At 34.6% G+C, this 19,380-nt stretch overlaps 1 long non-coding RNA gene across 2 annotated transcripts in view; it reads right to left on the bottom strand.

Moving 5' to 3' along the window:
• LOC105370464 (uncharacterized) overlaps window positions 1–8,175 on the bottom strand; it is a 47,489-nt gene extending 39,314 nt beyond the window's left edge. The window contains exons 1-2 of one of the 2 annotated variants that reach the window (XR_001750738.2): window positions 8,038–8,175; window positions 6,713–6,941 (exon numbers count right to left, since the gene is read on the bottom strand). This is a non-coding gene — a long non-coding RNA (uncharacterized LOC105370464). The remainder of the gene's footprint in view (window positions 1–6,712; window positions 6,942–8,037) is intronic. The other variant, XR_943788.2, reaches the window with a different exon arrangement.
• Window positions 8,176–19,380: the final 11,205 nt, after the last annotated feature.

Below are 19,380 nucleotides of genomic sequence, written 5' to 3'. Positions count from 1 at the left end.
TATGTATACATATATACATATGTATGTAGTGTATATACATATATAATTAATAATTATATATACTACATATACACTACATACACATATGTAGTATGTAATGTATGTATATATACATTATATATGTAATATATGTACACATATATACATATGTATGTTTATGTGTATATACATATATAGGTATATCTATACATATTACATATATATGTAATATATACATTATATAGATATATGTATATATGCATATTGCATGTTATATATGTATATATGCATATTACATATGTTATATATACATATGCATATTACATATATGTTATATATACATATGTATATATGTGTATATACATATGTTATATATAATATATAACATATAATGTACATATACATATATTACATACTACATATATGTATATATAATGTATATATAATGTATATATACACATATATGTAATATATAATGTATATATACACGCATATACACATATATGTAATATATATATGTATATATGCACACATACAGTGACAGGATTACCAGTTGCACTGTTAAACTTAAGAGATTTTTTAAAGTAGTGCAGTAACAAATAGGCAAATGTCACAATATGCAAATCAAGCATCTATAAAACGATAATCAAAACTTTACTTTTTACTTTAATGGAAATATTTGATATTATTTAACATATGATAAAAATAAATGTTGACTATATGAGGAAATAGTCATTTTCACTAATATTCAAAAAATTGAAAAAAATAAATCATTGGGTGTTCTTTTTTCCTAGCCATATTACAAAGAGAGAAAAAAAAGAAAATATGCTGCCTTGATATAATTTCTGGGAAATGTGTGCTGTCTTAATTTTTTGATGAAAGCAGAAACTAATGTGCAAGGTTTACAGTAAAATTTCACAGCATGCATCAAGAGCCCTAAAAAAGTTCAATCTTGCATGTCGCCATAGTGGGATCCTTAGGCTTTCAACATAGAGCAACATGTACCAATGATGTAAAAACTCATGATTAAATACGAAACATTCTGAAAGTCCAACAATAAAAGCATCTAGGTAAACTGTAGTACATTCATATAACGAATAGATATCACATTATTAAAATTATATTTATTTAAAATTGCCATCTTAATTCAGTGTCAAGTCAGTGCTATAAATGTAAATGTACACTGAGAACAAGAAAGAGGCAGAGGCAGAATGAGACGAAGTTAACAAAACAAAGGGAGGAGAGTCACAAAATAGTAATAAAAGTGATTTCTGGTTAAATAAAAGTATAATTTTTTTTCCTTAATAATATCTACATTTTTCAAATATGCAATAAGTATGTATTAAATAAAGTAAATAAGAATAAGCTTTATCACTCATATATAATATTATATAAAATCTTTGCAAAAATAGCTAAATCTAAGCAAAGAGTGGTTTCTTTTTTAATTTCAAATTTGATTTTAGATTCAGGGAGTACATGTGCATGTTTTTTACATTGGTATATTGTGTGACACTGAGGTTTGGGTACAATTGATCTAGTTACTCAGGAAGTGACTTTAGTACTTAATAGGTAGTTCTTTTTAGGCCGCATCTTCCTTCCTCCTTCACCCCTTTTTGTAGTATCCAGTGTTGGTTGTTGCCACCTTTGTGTCCATGTGTACCCAATATTTAGGTCCCATTTATGAGTGAGAGCATGCAGTATTTGGTTTTCTGTTTCTGCATTAATTCACTTAGGATAATGGACCCCAGAAGCATCCATGTTGTTGCAAGGAGCATGTTTTTTTTGTTTTGTTTTTTGTTTTATGACTACAAAGTATTCCATGGTGTATATGTACCAGAGTCATTAATTTCTACTCATCTCAACTTCTCATTTAATTTTCTTCTATACTCAAATCACCTATATATGAAGGATTACCAAGCAAAGAAACTACAGTTCTTAGACAATAGAAATCATTCTGTGGAAACACCACTGTCACTTTTACCTATGAAATTTAAAAATCAAAACCTGCTTTCCAACAAAATAAATATGTTAATTTATAAACTCAGTCATATCACTCATTTATTGACCAAGAATCATAGTTTACAATAAAGCAACAAAGTAGAGGCCTTCAGGAGCGGAAAACAGCTTATAAAAAGTGACGGTTGTATCCAAAATGTAGCTAAAGCCAAATGTATTAAAAATAATTTGAAGGTTTAATATAATGGATTTTTTTCATTTAATCGCTTAAGAGATGAACATTTCACTAAAACACCTTTTTAAAACATCACATTTTCAAATTACATTTTTCTACTTCAACCTTGATAAACTCCACTGGACCCATATCTACTTATTTTATAATTGCTGTTTTCCCGTCATTCTCCATCTTCTATTTTGTAAATAATGAATAATTATAATTCTATATAATCTCTTAGCAAAATCAGAATCATAATTTTAGGGAGAAAGAAGAGGAAATTTAAGTGGGGATAATGTTTTGAAGGCAATGAGTAAGGCATATTTTGGAGTGCAGGTTTTCTGACTACTGGCATAGTGTTCTACACAATCAACACTACATCTCATTAACTAGTAGTAAAATGAAATGATTATGACCAAAGTCATTTTAAGCTGTTTCTCTAGTGGCAATACTGCATTTTGTACTTTCATAACGAAGTGAAGGTTTTCAGATTCAGAAAGAAACGTGTTATTCTGAAGTGTTACCTAAAAACTTAAAAACTGTCAGTGTCTAGATGAGTGCTTCTAAAAACCATGGACATCCCTTTGAAGATCTCCTAGGATCCTCCCAAAATGACCAGGGCCAAAAAGTGAGGGATAACAGTAGTGACGACACCACCAAAATGAGGTCATAGTCAGGACACCATTTAGTGGGCATGTTTACCATGAGACAAGCATGTTACATTTGCATTTTATATTTTCCAGAGCACAAATCTGTGAGAAGAATTAAAAAGAGCAAAGATGCATCAGGAAAAAAAATGCGTATCATAACAGTCACAAGTCCTATTAATTTCTTCCTCCCATTAGTCTATGGAGATTCAAGACCACTATATTGCCATCTCCTTTCTTGTCCCCTAAAATAAAAACACAATAAAGTTCTAGGGATCTAAGAAATTTTTTCAGGTGTCATTTATGCAATTAGCCTATGGGATTTAGAGATAATATATTTTTATTTGTTTTAATAATGTCCCTTTATTCTGATAAAAGTAACAGTATGTCTTTGATGCCTAACGAAAAGGGCTATCCCACTGCCAACTGTCCACATGCTGTCTATTCATATCTGTGTTGAGCTTTCTGAGGTCCATATTTGAGATACCGCAGTCCCTTTGCTTCTTGATTTTAGCTACTCTCTTAATTTGTGTCCTGTTTTGTCTCAAGTATCCCTAACTCAGAAGCTTCTTGTGAGATTGACCTTGACTTATACCTTCACTTCTGCTTCCTTTCCTAATAAGAACCTAGATCATATTTCATCCTTTAGGCTGGATCTTGGATGTGTGAAAATGGAGAAAAATATGTTGAATTAAAATAGACATATTTATTGTGTAAGAGTTAAGTAAATAAGATTTTGTGTTTGATAATTAGTTTTAGAAGAAAAGTTATAGTTACATAATCCACTATGGTCAGTGCTATGACTTTGTTCTTCTGCTACACTGCTTCAATTTGAAAGTCAAGTCAATTATCAAAAAACTGAGTATATTTAGACATCATAAGATTATGATCAAATTTATTTCAATGATAAGCATCTTGTCAACTGGGAGAAAGATAGTTATTCAGAACTTGGACACAAATGTTATGGCATGACTCAGATAGATCGTATCCTTATAGATTATGAAAATTATGCAAAAGGAAAAAGTGTCCAAAGCATAGTTGCATAAAAGCTAATAAATAGAAATATGTCTTGGAAAAATAGAGCCTAGTTAAGAAAAGTTGAGCCTAGGAACAGATCAGACCTAGGCAAACTTAAGGGATAAAACAATAAGACAAGAGCAAAGGTCAGAATTTACAATTCAAGGAATCTGATAGGCAGTTATCTCTTCTTTTTCCTAAAAATATCATTGGACTGTCAGAAGGAAAATAAAAGTACAAACACATCCATAGCCCTAAAAAAGAGCTGAGACATAAGTCATTAGCAAGTATAACACAGAAGAATTTCTGGAAATATAAGGTAGATAGAAGAGAATTAAAAGAAACCCATGAAAACGTAGGAACTTAAATCCACTCAGTGATCAAAAGGACTTTCTAAATAGTGAGTTATTAAACAAAAATCTTATAATCTTTTTAGGAACAGAGTAATCAGGATACAAAAGTACAAGCAGAATTTGATTTTGTCAGTAGGGTGGCTGTGAAAAAACTGCAAACCAGTTGTATCAGATTTCATCATAGCTGCCAATAGCTTTTGCCCTTGGGCAGTAAGGTGGCAAATGGACATGAAGTTTGCCAAACAGGTTGTTTGGGCTGGAGATAAAATCAAGCAGAGGCCCAGATTAATTCTGGACACAATGGTATATGCACAGCCTGCACCAATAAAGTAAACTGCCTCAACATCCTATAGAAAATTGACAATTAGAAAATCTCATGCAACCCTCTCCTTCCCAATAATCAGAATGAAGATTTCTACGATTATAATCTGAATTCATTACTGTAGGAAGAAATTATACTTATGCTGATGATACTTCAGCTGTCAATAGTATTCATTCTAAGTCCTCATTAATAAAGACAGACAATGAAGATTCTACAATATATAAGGAAACCAATGGATGCAATGTAAATATCCAGTTAAAAGAACAGAAGAATGAACCCTTGAAGAAGTAGTTAATATGGAAAATAAAGCATAATTGTATAATCATTATAGTTAGCAATGTTCAATGTTCAGAAATATTTAAAAATATTCAAAGTATATTGGGACCCATGATGCTGCATACACCAAAATAATATGAAAAGATTTTTTTACTTATACAACTGGACTTTCTGGGAAGAGTAAGGCAAGTTCAAGCTGGTCTGACTGACTGGCAGGAGCAAAGCTGGGTGTGGGTTTTATTATAGGTAGGAAGTAGGGGCAGAATGAGGGTGAGTGCCCAGGAATGGTTTGGCATATTTATTGGCTTTTTATTGTGAACAATAATAAAATTTGCATATTTCCACTTTTTCCCACCTCTTTTCTCCCTTTTTCACTACTTAATTTTGTATTATTCTTTCTTAGTTGTTCCAGTATTTACTTTGTATCTTCAAGCATATTTATAGCTTGGCTACTTGATGAATCAATTGTAAGTCATATATTTTAATCCCTGGCTATGAAGAATGGAGAAAATCTACTCATATATCATACCTCTTCTAATTCCTCCTTCTCTCACTTTCTTTATTAGTTATATTATTTTTACATTGTCATCATAGAAGACATTTAAATTCTTCTGTACAATACGAATAATTCACATATTTGTTTCCATCTCTCCCTTTCAGGACATGAATTCAAGGCTGGCTACCAGTCCTTTCGTCATTGTTTATTCAGTTTTCTCCTCTTTGGCCAAGGAACAGTTTTCTTCAAAAAGAGTCTATGGATATTCCATTCCTTTAATTTCTTGCACATGTAAAAACTTTATACATATATCATTCATATTTGAATGGCGATTTAGGTGTGCATAACATTTTTAGGCATTTTTGCTGAGAAATTTAGGGACATTACTCCACATCCTACATGGGATGTGTATTTTAAAAACGATAGCTGGCACTGTTATTTCCCCCCTGGTGTTACACTCACTTTGCCTGGGTACTAAAAATAATTTTCTTAATATTTGACAAAATCATCACCAGACTTGTCTGTTAATCATTCTGCATGAATTTTTTCCCTAGGACATAATATATCATTTGAACCTATGAATTCAAGTCTTTTATTTGTGAAATTTCTCCTTGAAATACGTTGTTAGATGTTTATTTTCCCTTCCAATTGTTAGGTTTATTTCTTCAGGGACATTAATTATATTTAATATAGGATAATTTGTCTTCCATACATACTTGTTTATTTCAAACCCTTTAAAATTTGCTCATTTCCATTCCTTTCCACTCATGTTTTTCAATCTTGCCCTTCATGACTGTCATTATATTTCCATAATATTTCTTTTCATATATGTCACTGCGTTACTGTCAATGTTAACTTCCTATGATTATTTTATTTTTATCCTCTAAGTATTTCCTGGCTCCTGTTTCTCATGCTATTTCTATGCCTGTGGTGGCACCATATCTCCCTAGGCTTTTGTTTCTCTGCCATGAATTTTTGATGGTTTCATTGAGTTGTACTCATTCACACTGGTATATTTAATCACAGTTTACTGGATCACTGACAAATTTTTCCATGAGTTTTCTTTGTCCATTTATTTTTGCATATGTTTCAGTCTTGCCTTTTCCTTCCTTTCTCCGTGTAGTATATTTGCATTGGCTCCTTTTTTGATAATAACTTGTCTTTGAATGCAAAGAAATCTTTCTGTATCAGCATTTTTCACATTCTTATTAGACAGGAACTAAAGTAATATTACAAACTAGCAAGAATTCTCCCTGGGTTATAATATAGGATTGTCTGAATGTCCAGGATGCCTTAACTTTATTTCTTCCCATTAAAAAGAGATTTAGAGCTGTAGTCCTACATATAATATAGGATCTCCTTCCACGCCACATTTCCACTGCATTTACTCTTCCTTCCCTGGTACCCATGGGAAAAAAAAATCATATGAAGCTTTCAGCCTGAAACACATACCTGTTTCTTGAAACAAAAGGTTGTTGTTTTGCTTCTCGGTGTAAGAACTGCTCAGTCAGCTTAATCCAAGATTTGTAGCCATTAAAGACCTTCTGAGCATCATTCTTGCCCCTGTGGCAGCACTTTTTTATATCTGATTGTTACGAGTAAGAAATGTCCTTAGTTTAACAAAATGTAGAGCTTGCATTCCTGTTTCTTGAGTTTTTGTTGTTGTTACTGTTGTTGTTTTCTAAAATAGAGAAGAGCACCTGATAAAACAGGTATCTCTAAGCTCATGTTATTCAGGAATGACCTCAGACGCAGTTTAGCATGGGATATGAAAGCACTGAAGCCAAGTTGTTTTTATACAAGAGAGTTTGTTGGTGTTTCATTTAATTATTTGCTTCCATATCTAAGAAAACTTTAAGTAATATAGTCTTTTGACTTTCTTTTAACTAACCTTACTGTGTGACCCCACGAGAAGCAGCCTGCTATAAGAGATCAAAGTTCAAAATGTCAACAGTGACCCACAGAGAGCTCTGTTGCCCAGTGCAGAACATTACTAAGTACTCTTAATACATCACAGCTACGGGTATTAATATGAGCAGTCCTTGTAAATTTGAAACTGGCTCAATGATCCCATTGAACTGAAGTTTATGGTTTCTTTTGAATAAACATACAAATTTACCCTCCCAGTCTTAAAATTAAAAATATTACATTTGTCTTGTCTGAGTTCCTTTCTCAGGAAACCAACCCTCATGCCCCCTACATAGTATCAAGGAAGTGAAACTTACCAGATCACAGCATCCGGACAATGAGACACCATACCCCCCACTCATCGTGATTGCCTATCCAACCACCTGCTTCCTGTTGACCAACTCCTCTTCCTTAGCCCTCTCTAATTCCTGTTTACCCACATATAGTTTTATTCCTCCCCCACTACATAAACTCCCAGTTTTAGTAGATCAGGGAAATGGATTTGAGACTGATCTTGCATCTCCTCAGCTGCGCGGCACCCAATTAAATAAAGCCTTTGTTCCCCGAGAATTCTCGTTGTCTCCTAATTGGCTTTCTGTGTGGAAAGCAGGAGAACTTAGACCAAACCCCTGGTGTTTTGGTAACAAACTGATGGATATTGTTTACAAAATATTAAGATGCATACTACATACTTCGTGTTCACAATCTTGTTTAAAATTTACAATTACTAGCCAGGTGTAGTGGCTCACACCTGTAATCTCAGCACTTTGGGAGGCCGAGGCAGGTGGATAACCTGAGGATAGGAGTTCAAGACCAGCCTGGCCAACATGGCAAAACTCCGTCTCTACTAAAAATACAAAAAAACTTACCCAGGCGTGGTGGCACACGCTTGTAGTCCCAGCTACTCGGGAGGCTGAGGCATGAGAATCACTTGAACCAGGGAGACAGAGGCTGCAGTCAGCCAAGATTGCGCCACTGCATTCCAGCCTGGGCAACAGAGTGAGACCCTGTCTCAAAAACAACAACAACAACAAAAAGCTTACAATTACTATATGGAGTAACCACTATATTATCATTTTACAAAAGAAGAAATTCAAGGCTTAGAGAAGTCTAGTAATGTTCTCAAGGCCACACAGGAAGTAAATAGCCTAGCCAGAATTAGAATCCTGTTATACTCCAAGACCTGTAATGCCCATCACTTACTCTACAGAATATCCAAATGTCTTTTAATTATTTTCAAAATTGCTTCTATTATTCCAGTCACGTGGAATCATAAAAGGTAGACTTTAAAAGTCATCCTAGATTTCTGGGGGACTTTATTCCATTACATTAGCCCCGCCAAATATAAATGTAAAATTGATGGCCTAAAACAGTGAAGTCATCTCCCAAAAAAGTGGCCCAAAGAAAGAATTGTATGTATTTTCTCCTTAGAGTAAGGAATCATCCTTTGTTTCCTACACAGTGGCTTAGTTCTATTCATTGTGAGAGGTGACAACCTGCCAGCAGCCCTAGCTCACTCTTGGCGCCTCCTCTGCCTCGGCATCTGCTCTGGCCGCGCTTGAGGAGCCCTTCAGCCCGCCGCTGCGCTGTGGGGGGCCCTCTCTGGGGCTGGCCGAGGACAGAGCCGGCTCCTTCTGCTCCGGAGGAGGTGTGGAGGGACAGGCGCGGGTGGGAACCGGGGCTGTGAGCGGCCCTGGCGGACAGGTGGGGCTTCCGGGTGGGTGCCGCGTGGAGCCTGCTGGGCTTGATCGGTGGCTAGGTCCTGATTGTCCACGATGGCGGGTCTCTTGTCTCTTTCTCCCTTTCCCTCTTTTCCTCTTGGTTGTCTGGGATGACTCCCTCTGGGCTGCCGGACTGCCCAGACTAGGTGCCACAAAGTCCCCTGGAGAGTGCTAGTGAGAGGTGAAGCAGGCTGGGCTTCTGGTTGGGTGGGGACTTGGAGAACTTTTCTGACTAGCTAAAGGATTGTAAACGCACCAATCAGCCCTCAGTGCCTAGCTAAAGGTTTGTAAAGGCACCACTCAGCACCCTGTCAAAACGGACCAATCGGCCCTCTGTAAAATGGACCAATCAGCAGGATGTGGGTGGGGTCAGATAAGCGAATAAAAGCAGGCTGCCCCAGCCAGCACCCGCAACCCACTCGGGTCCCCTTCCACACTGTGGAAGCTTTCTTTTTTCGCTCTTTGCAATAAATCTTGCTGCTGCTCACTCTTTGGGTCCGCACCGCCTTTATGAGCTGTAACACTCACCGTGAAGGTCTGCAGCTTCGCTCCTGAAGCCCTGGAGACCACGAACTCACCTGGAAGAACAAACAACTCTGGACGCGCCGCCTTTATGAGCTATAACACTCACCGCGAAGGTCTGCAGCTTCACTCCTGAAGTCAGCGAGACCACGAACCCTCCAGAAGGAAGAAACTCCAGACATGTCTGAACATCAGAAGGAACAAACTCCGGATGCACCATCTTTAAGAACTAACACTCACCGTGAGGGTCCACAGCTTCATTCTTGAAGTCAGCGAGACCAAGAACCCACCAATTCTGGACACAATTGTGTCTATAATGGTAAAAGAAAAATAGGTATATAGATATATGTGTGTGTGTCCATATGCCTGTGTGTATATAAAGATATGTATGTGTGTCTATGTTTATTATGTCAACACATACATATGTTATACATGTAAGCAAGAATGTTATTTTCTGTTTGAACATCTCTAGCTCCTTAAAATGTTACTTATATCTAAGGTAACCACATGGCTTACACGAGAAAACTTTTGAGAATAAAAAGGGGCATTAGCCAGGACATACAACTGGGTAGACAGGAGCAAACTGAGACAGTCCCAGACATGCTCATATGTCCTACCTATTCATATATGTAGTGCTTCTTTTTGTTGTTGTTTTATAGGCCACAAACTCAGGTATACAAAAATGTACAATATCTTATCTACAATTAAGAGCTCTTAGCTAGCTATACAAAGAACTCCTAAAAATTGACAAGAAAAATATGACAGCTGAAAAAGAATAAAATGCTTTGAAATGGTAAGTTACAGAAGGAAAAAACATCACGTAATAACACATATGTTAAGAAATGCTCAAACTTCCTAGTTGTCAGCAAAGCACACTAAAAACTAGCTGTGAACTTTTATTTTATATGTACCAAAATGACAAAAATTAAAAAAAGAATTATAGTACCTACTGCTGGTTGGGATTTAAGACAATTCACATTGTGGGTGAAAAATATAAATTGTTATGGCTCTTTGGAAACTAAATCTAGCAACATCCACTATAATAAATTTATACATAATTAGCAATCCCACTTTTAGATTTCTATCCTATAGAAATAAAAGTGCTAGTACCTAAACACATGTACCCCAAAATTTTTATCACAGAATTATTTGTAGTTATAAATAAATAAAAACAAAATGGTCACATACTAAGTAAGATAATGGCTAAATAAATTATGATAGAGTCACACTATGTAATATGAGACTATCAAAAACATAAATTACAATATAAAATTTGTTCTGGGTTGTTTTCCATGAGGTATTGTTGAATGAGATGGCCATTGTGCAGTTCAAAGAAAGTTCTAGGGTCTGAGTAATTGTTATTATGACACTATAAAGAAACATAAAATAAAAAAACAAAAAACTTGGCACACTTACATCTATCTAACTATCTAAAATACTGTGAGGGTATGTGCTCATATAAGGTTCAGCTTCATGAGGCAGAGTACAGACAGATACCCACCAAGTTGTTAATATGAATTACGAGGGTACTGAAGTGGAGGTTTATGTGAATAGAATTCGAGACAGTGTGGGGGGGTCAGAATGAGGAAATAAGTAGCATAGTAGTTCATAATAAAAGTCATGAAGAACTTATAGCTATCTCTGAATTTACAGACTTCCATGATTTAATGTTGCAAGGAAATGTATGCAGTATGTTCAGACTTTTGTTGAAAGAAATAGCTCAAACTTTTCTCTCTAAACACTCTCTTTATATATAAAATACTTGTTTATGTACATGTAAGCAGGTAGAAGAAAGGTGTTCAAAGATATCCACAAAATTGTTAACACTAAATAGCTCAAAGGCTGAGAGGTAAATATTTTTGACTTAATAAAACTTGTGCTATTTTTGTGCTATTTTATACTAACTGTTACTACAAATATGTATTACTTTTTTAAATTTGAAAAACATTTAAAAATATTTACTCTACGTTAAATTCTGAAAGTACATCCTAGCAATATTGCACACCTTTAGGTTATCTGGAATCTACATCAGTGACCTCTACACCACAGTGCAGATGCCCTCACTCATGTAGTTATATATTTCCTCACTAAAACACTGGCATACTTCCATATATCTACCAATCTTTAAGAAATCTTCCTTGGTTCTTGGATTGAACAGTAGTGTTATGCCACTGAAATATTAGTGTCAATTTTTTTTATCTCCCTTAGTTCACAGCTAGTTTTTCTTCTCTTCCCCTGCTTTCCACATAACTGCACACCATGCTGAAAACCGATTTTAATTTATATTTGCTTCATCTTAATTTGTTAGTGTATCCAAGCTTGCTCTTCCACAATAGACTATCTGGATTATCTTTTAGCGGAAAAGCTTCATAAATTATGGAATGTAAATATGCTGAACATATCTACCTTGAAAATATGACTGGGTCTAAAGGAATATTTACTCCTGCATAATAAGGCTCTATAGACTCTTCAGAGGCCACATTTGAGAAATTAACACTCAAACCAAATGTATATATTCCATAGACCTACTTCCTGTTTTGGTGTAAAAGAATAAAGAAGAACTTTACCTCTATGGTAATACCAAGAAAAAAACTGGAAAATATTTGAAAATTATATCAGTCTATAGGGTTATTTATTAGTGGCAGATACAAGAAAGACTTGATGAACAGGTTTCCACTGAAGCATTCACAGGCAATCAGCTTCCTTCAACAGCTCTGGGCAAACACTAGATCTAGGTCTAGGTCTAGACAAACATTCAAAAAATCCAGAAACTATACCCAGTTCAGAAGAGATCTGACAAGATATTGACAACTGTTAAGTAGGCAGGAATACAAAATTTTTTTTGGTGTAACACTTCTCCTGATCTCACTCCTCTTCAGTTTCACTGAAGTAATAAAGGCAATGATGTTGAGTTTGAAACACATATAACTTACATATTTGAAAAACTCTAACACTTATTCTAATAGTTTCAGGAACTGTAAATGTGATGACAATACCTCTCTAGACCCCACATTCAATAAAACAGAGTAATTGCTCCATAGCAGTGGCAGCTCCCAGCAGCAACCTGCAGCCACCAAACCGGATGTCTTGGACTGGCCTAGCCAGAAATGAGCTTAACCTTTTTTTTTTCTTTTCAGTGATTTGGATGTTGTTTTTTTTTTTGGTTTTTGTTGTTGTTGTTGTTGTTGTTGTTGTTTTGAGACGGAGTCTCGCTCTGTCGCCCAGGCTGGCATGCAGTGGCGCGATCTCGACTCATTGCAACCTCTGCCTCCCGGGTTCAAGCGCTTCTCCTGCCTCGGCCTCCTGAGTAGCTGGGATTACAGGCATGCACCACCATGCCCAGCTAGTTTTATTTGTATTTTTAGTAGAGACGGGGTTTCTCCATGTTGGTCAGGCTGGTCTCAAACTCCCGACCTCAGGTGATCCACCCGCCATGGCCTCCCAAAGTGCTAGATCACAGGCATGAGCCACTGCGTCAGGCCGAAATGAGCTTAATCTTAAAGCTTTTTAACTCAGATGATTTCAGTCATTCAACAACTGGTAAAAATTAAATGATTACTTTCTCACTGTAACCAACAGACACAAATAATGTTCGTACACTCTGGGGAAACACAACTAAACAACGGTGTACTCTGACCTTCCTAGTTCTTCTACACACAATGTATGGTATGCAGTATAAGAATTATAAGCTATGTGAACCAGCAAAAACTGGACTTCACAATGAAGGAAAAAAAATCAAAAGCATCTAACTCACCGATAAACTACATATTGGAACTTGCAAACATGAACTTTAAAATAACTAACTAAATAAGTACAAGAATTGACAAACAGAAAGTATCGATAAACAGATGGTGAATCTCAACAGAGAAAATAAAACTATTAGAATAAAGAAATTCTGTCATCTGCAATACAAAATGGGATTAACATGAGAATTAAACTGAAAAAGAAACAATCTGTGAATTTAAAGACAGGTCAATAGGTGTTATCTTAAAGGAAGTACAGAGGGGGAAAAAAAAAGCAACTGATCAGAAAGCCAATTACCAGTGGGAAAATACAAGGCAATTTAGCATATGTGTAATTAGAAAATATATCATTGTTAACTGAAGTTTATGCCGAGAATTCAAGGTTATATTAACATTCAGAAATCAATGAACGTAATGTATCACATTAACAAGAATAAAAAAGATAAATCACGTTGTTTATCAGATGCAAAAAAGCATTAGACAAAATCTACCACTCATTAATGATAAAAAGTCTCAGGATCTAGAAATAAAACTACCTCTATTTGAAAATTTGAGTAATCTGTGAATACCTTTCCACTGACATCACACTTATGGATGAAATATTAGACATTCACCACCACTAAGATTGGAGACAAGGAAAGGTAGTATACTTTTTCACCATTTGTATTCAACATTGTACTTTTCAAAGGTCCTAGATACTGCATTAAAGTAAAAATAAGGAAGAAAGGGAGTGAGCAAAGGAGCAAAGAAGAAAGAGAGGGAAAAGTAACAAGGGAGGAAAAAAGTAAGTATTTTTTTCTGCAGACCAAATTATTTACATCTAGGAAATATTAATATATTAAAAATTCTAGATGTAATAGGTGAATTCAGTGAGGTCTCAGGATTTAGGATCAATACAAAATCTGTTGTATTTCTACAAATTAGCAAAAACAGTTGCAAAATAAAATTTAAAAATCAGTATCATTCATTATATCACAAAAAAATAACATTTAGAGCCATATATAATAAAACCTGAGCAAGACCTCTACTCTGCAAACAGGAAGACTTTCTTGAGAAAAGTTAGCGATGACCTAAATAAATATTGTACAGATATCAATTATCCCCAACTTAATCAAAGATGGCATGCAATTTCAATATCTGAGGAGGCTTTTCTGCCATTACTGAAAAACAAATGCTAAAATTTGTATGGAAGTATAACGAACCTAGATAGAACAGTTAAACATTATTGAAAAATAAAGAAAATTTGAGGATTTATAAAATCTGACTTCAAGACTTATTATAAAGCTACACCAACCAAGTCTGTGATATGGGCATAAGATAAACAAATAGATGCATGAAACAAAGGAGAGCCCATAAATAGCTCTACATAGATACAACTGAATTATATGCGACAGGCAACAATGTAATTCAATGGAGAAAAAAAATCTTTTCAGCAATTGGTGTATTGGAACAACTGAATAAAGAATAGATGAAAAAATAAATCTCTTCTTGATGCATTCAACATAAAAGTTAATTTGAAATGACTCATAAACCTAAATATAGATGCTAAAATTATAAAACATTTAGAAGAAAGCATACCAGTGTTATAGTGAGCAAGATCATGAATGGTAAGTAAGAGTTTATAAGCCTTTGAGAGAAAACAGAGATCAAATTTAAAGAAAAATAATCCATGCTAAAGGCCTCAAATGTAAATCCACTGTGTCAATAGGAAATCATGAGAATATAGCGTTATTTCATTAGTAAGTACTGTCTTGTGCAAGTTGTTTTGCTAAGTGCAAAGGACAAAAGGTAAAATACCATACAGTACCTCTACATCAGGAACTTTCATTACAATGGGAAAAAAGGATATAGGGAATGGCACACAATGCAATGAAATTAAGTTATATTAAAGTTAACTATAATCTCTATGAAAACAGTGAGAGCCTAGGAATTAATTCTATATCAATTTCTTGCAAGATTGTAAAGATTTCATAGGATAAACAGGTTGAGTCTGGTGGCAGAATAAATTACATGTGAAAAAATTCATATATGAACGTGTGGGGCTATTCACAAAACCATTAGCATTTGACATGGCTGCAGGAAGCGTGTTTGGGAAAGAGTAGCATTAATTGAGAGTAGAAAGGAAAGTGACAACACATTTGTGAATGTCAAGTACACCATGCCAAAAAAATTAAGATATATTAAATGAATGGTCAATTTACATATTTTTAATATTAAAAATCCTCTGAGGGATGTTTTATGTTTCCTATTTTACACATGAGAAATCAAGCTAAGAAAGTTTTGATGCATACATATTAAGTACTGTTATGTCTTCTTAGAGAATAGACCTAATTATATAATGACCTTCATTATCTGATTAATTTTCTGATGAATGTTCTGTTCTCTAGCCTGCTTTGTCTGAAATTTATACATAACTACTACAGCTTTCTAATGATTACTGTTAGTGTGATATATCTTTCCCTATCCCTTTACTTTTAACCTTTCTGAGCCTTATATTTGAAGTCATTTCCTATAGACAGAATATTTGCTTGTAGTATTTATCCATTCTGACAATCTGTTTTTATAAATTTCTGTATTTAGACCATTTGCATTTAAAGTCATGATTATCAACCATGTTTTTAACTGTTATTCATTGCACTTGTTCTTTGTTTCTTTTTTTCTCTTTTTCCGTCTTCTCAGGTTTTAATGAGTATTTTATATAATTTTATTTTACATCTTCTTTTAGAATATTAATTATATTTTAAAAAAAAATTTATTGACTTCCCTAGAGGCTACAATGTACCTTAACCAATCTAAGTCCACCCTCAAATAAGACTATGCTGCTTCACATGTAATACTTTATAACAGAGTATTCTTAATCCTCTCCTATCATTTGTGACATTGATCTCATTCATTTATTTCACTTATTTATATGCTATGGTCATCAAATATATTTTCTTTAATATTATGGTAAATGAAGTTCTCTTTTATATCAATTAAGAGTAATAAAATAAAAGATTTTGTTTTAGCTTCATTTATTTCTTCTCTGATGCTCTCCCTGTTCTTTATACATATAATGTTTCTAACCTGTATCATTGTTCTTCTCCCTGAAGAACTTCTTTAACATTTCTTTGGGCTGGTTCATTGGCAATAAATTACCTGTTTTTGTTTGTCTAAGAAGGTCTGTTTTTTTTTTTCAAGATTTTCTCTTTACAGTTAGCTTTCTGTGGCTTGCATATGACATGTTTAGATGTAAATTTTTGGTATTTATACTTCCTGGTGTTCTCTGAGCCTCTAGGATCTGTGGCTAGATGTCTGTCATTAATTTTGAAAACTTAGCCATTATTACTTCAGATATTTACTCTGTTCTGATCTCTTTTTCTTCCACTTTTGGTTATCCAATTATACACATGTTATACATTTATAAATTGTCCCACAACTATTGAATGTTCTGGATCACTTTTTCCAATTCTTATTTCTCTTTTAACATGGAATCTCTCTATGGGGCTATCTTCAAGCCCATTGATTATTTCTTCATTTATGTCCAGTTTACTGATGAGCTCTTCAAAGGCATTATTCATTTCTCTTCATATTTTTTATTTCTAGAATTTTCTTTTTATTCATTCTTAGGATTTTATTTCTCTGCTTACATTACCCATTGTTTTTTGCATGTTGTTTACTTTTTTATCAAAACCTTAAACATATTAATTATGGTCATCTTAAATTCTCTAATAATTCCAATACTGGTGTCATATCTAATTTTGGTTCTGATTTTTGCTTCACCTCTTTAGGTGATTTTGTTTATTTATTTATTTATTTATTTTTCTTTAAACAAGGCTTGTAACTTTTCTGTTGAACAATAAACATGATTTATCTGGCGATAGGAACTGACATAAATATGCCTTTAGTGTGAGGATTTATTTTAATCTGGGTGGGACTTGGGCTACATTTAATGTTTGCTGTAGTTGTAGGTGTTATAGACTTTAAATTTATTTAGTTTTCTTGTCTCCCCCGTTGCCTTTGGGTGCCCCTTTTTAGATATAGTCCATGTCCTGCAGCTCTGCCAGCTGCAATCCAATGTTATACTCGAACCCTGTTGGTGGAGTGGTAAGATATGAGAGAGAGGAAGCTCTTTATAGCCTTATAATTAAAATCAGTCTTTTAATGGACCTGTGTTCCAGGGTTGTGACCTTCACTAATGTTTCTTAACTTCTCTTAGGTGAGGTGGGAAGTGATAGGTGGGTGAAATCAGGAAAATATCTTTACCTCAGGTGGAACAAGGCTTTGATAAGGGTTTTTGGTTTACTTTTTCTTCCCCAGGGACAGTCAGCCTTTGTTATGGGAAATGTTCTAGGCATATTTTACGTGGTAACTTTTCCTCCAACCTTTGCCAGAGCCACTAGGGGATCTTTCTCAAATCTCCACAGTGAAGCTCTGATGGGGTTCCTAGAGTTAAAACCCATAAAAGTGTTAGGACTCCCTAAGCCTGTGGTTCCCAGGAGTTTTGTCATGCTAGTCCACACCCAGGCTGCAGCAATTCATCAAAATTACATTCAAATGTCATTTTCTGTGTATTGCTTCAGTGGCTTCTGCTTTAACCAGAAAACCAGACCTCAGTTGTAACTCCATGGATTTCCTTGTCTTTCCAGATTTCAAGGTGACTGTTTGCCTTGTGACCTTAGTTCCCTGATGAGTCCCAAAAAAAAAAATAGTTCATTTTTGGTTAGTTTAGCTTTTTTTCTCATGGTAATAAGCTTTTTACATATTAGTGTTAAAACCAGCTTAGGGAATTTAAATATCTACAAAATTGCCATTAAGTTTATTATTTTTTCCTCTAAAACCATGGCCTGAAACATTATTATAGAACTGCCCACATTTTTAGTGTAACAGTAGCCTGATAAATTAATTTTTATTACCCTGATGACAAAGCAGGGAATGGGCTGACATACCTGGAAAAGGGAAGCAATAGGAAGCTATTGGAAAAATAATCTTTGCAAGATTGTGAGAGAGGATTGAATTAGGTAGAAGTAAAGACACCAGAAATTTAAAAATGGAGTTTAAGCACAGAAAAATATGAAGTAAAATCAATATTTAGTTGTAGCTAATGAGGGAGGATGAATCAAGGCCAATTATGAGAATTCTCATTTGGACAAGGTGTCTACTTGAAGATTATCCAAAACAAAGTAACAACTACATTCTTATATATTATTATAATTGACCCAAAAGTATTTTCTATGGACAAATAACTAGTGCTGATGAATAATCTCATTGAGGTTGTCTTGATACAACTCAGTTAACAAAGCAGATGGGACATTTATCATACATTTATTATATGAATCAGAAAAATAACTTTTATATTTGAGTATATTATATGTTTAGAATCTCTGAGACCATATTCAACTACTTAGTATTAAAATTATCAATAGACTGAGAATTGCTCTTGCTTACTACTATTTTGAAAAAAAAAAGTAAATTTAAAAAACCTACTTTTATTACCAGAAAATAGATGATTTCAGGTAGTGGTAATAAAGCCTGTAGAGGCTCAGTAACAAACATAAAGAAAAATCCTTCTGGCCACCACTTTCACACTCACTATGTTGGACTTGTAAATCCTGACACAACTATGACAAAAACTCCAAACAGAGAAAATATGTTTCTCCTTATCTCCAAAATTAAATACTTGTATGTTTTGAAGATCAATCCTAGGGAAGTTGTCTTGATGAGAAAGATGCAGAGTGGTTCTTGTAGACAATTAAAATCAGCAAATAGAATGAACTCCTGTGCAATCACACAAAAGAAGCAACACAGGCATTTTATCCAATGCACTCCCAGATATACTAGTTAGAGGACAGGCTAACCTTTACTAAAAAATATTTCTCCCTTATGTCCAGAGGCATGTGAGCAATCCAAGAAGAGCAGTGGAAATTAGTCCATGAAGTTTTCCAAGGACCTAGGTTCCTTCTATCTGTTTTACCTTTTCCAGAGTGATGACTCCTCATTAAAGTCAAATCCAGGTCACCAGCACCTTATCTGCTTTCTAATCTGCAGCAAGTAGAAACAGAAAGTGTAGGGTTTCCGCTTTTAGGAATGTGATTTCTAACTACAATTGAACCTAACACTTCCATTCACTACCAACTGATCAGAGTGCCTTCACCCCAACTAACTAAAAAGGGAGAATGATGAAATCACCTGGACCTGAACAGCTATCATACAGGGGAAGGTGTTTTATAACTAACAAAAGAGGGGC

The sequence above is a fragment of the Homo sapiens genome, chromosome 14 (assembly GCF_000001405.40).
Source record: "Homo sapiens chromosome 14, GRCh38.p14 Primary Assembly".
NCBI classification, from domain to species: domain Eukaryota; kingdom Metazoa; phylum Chordata; class Mammalia; order Primates; family Hominidae; genus Homo; species Homo sapiens.
This window is presented reverse-complemented; position numbering and strand designations above follow the sequence as displayed.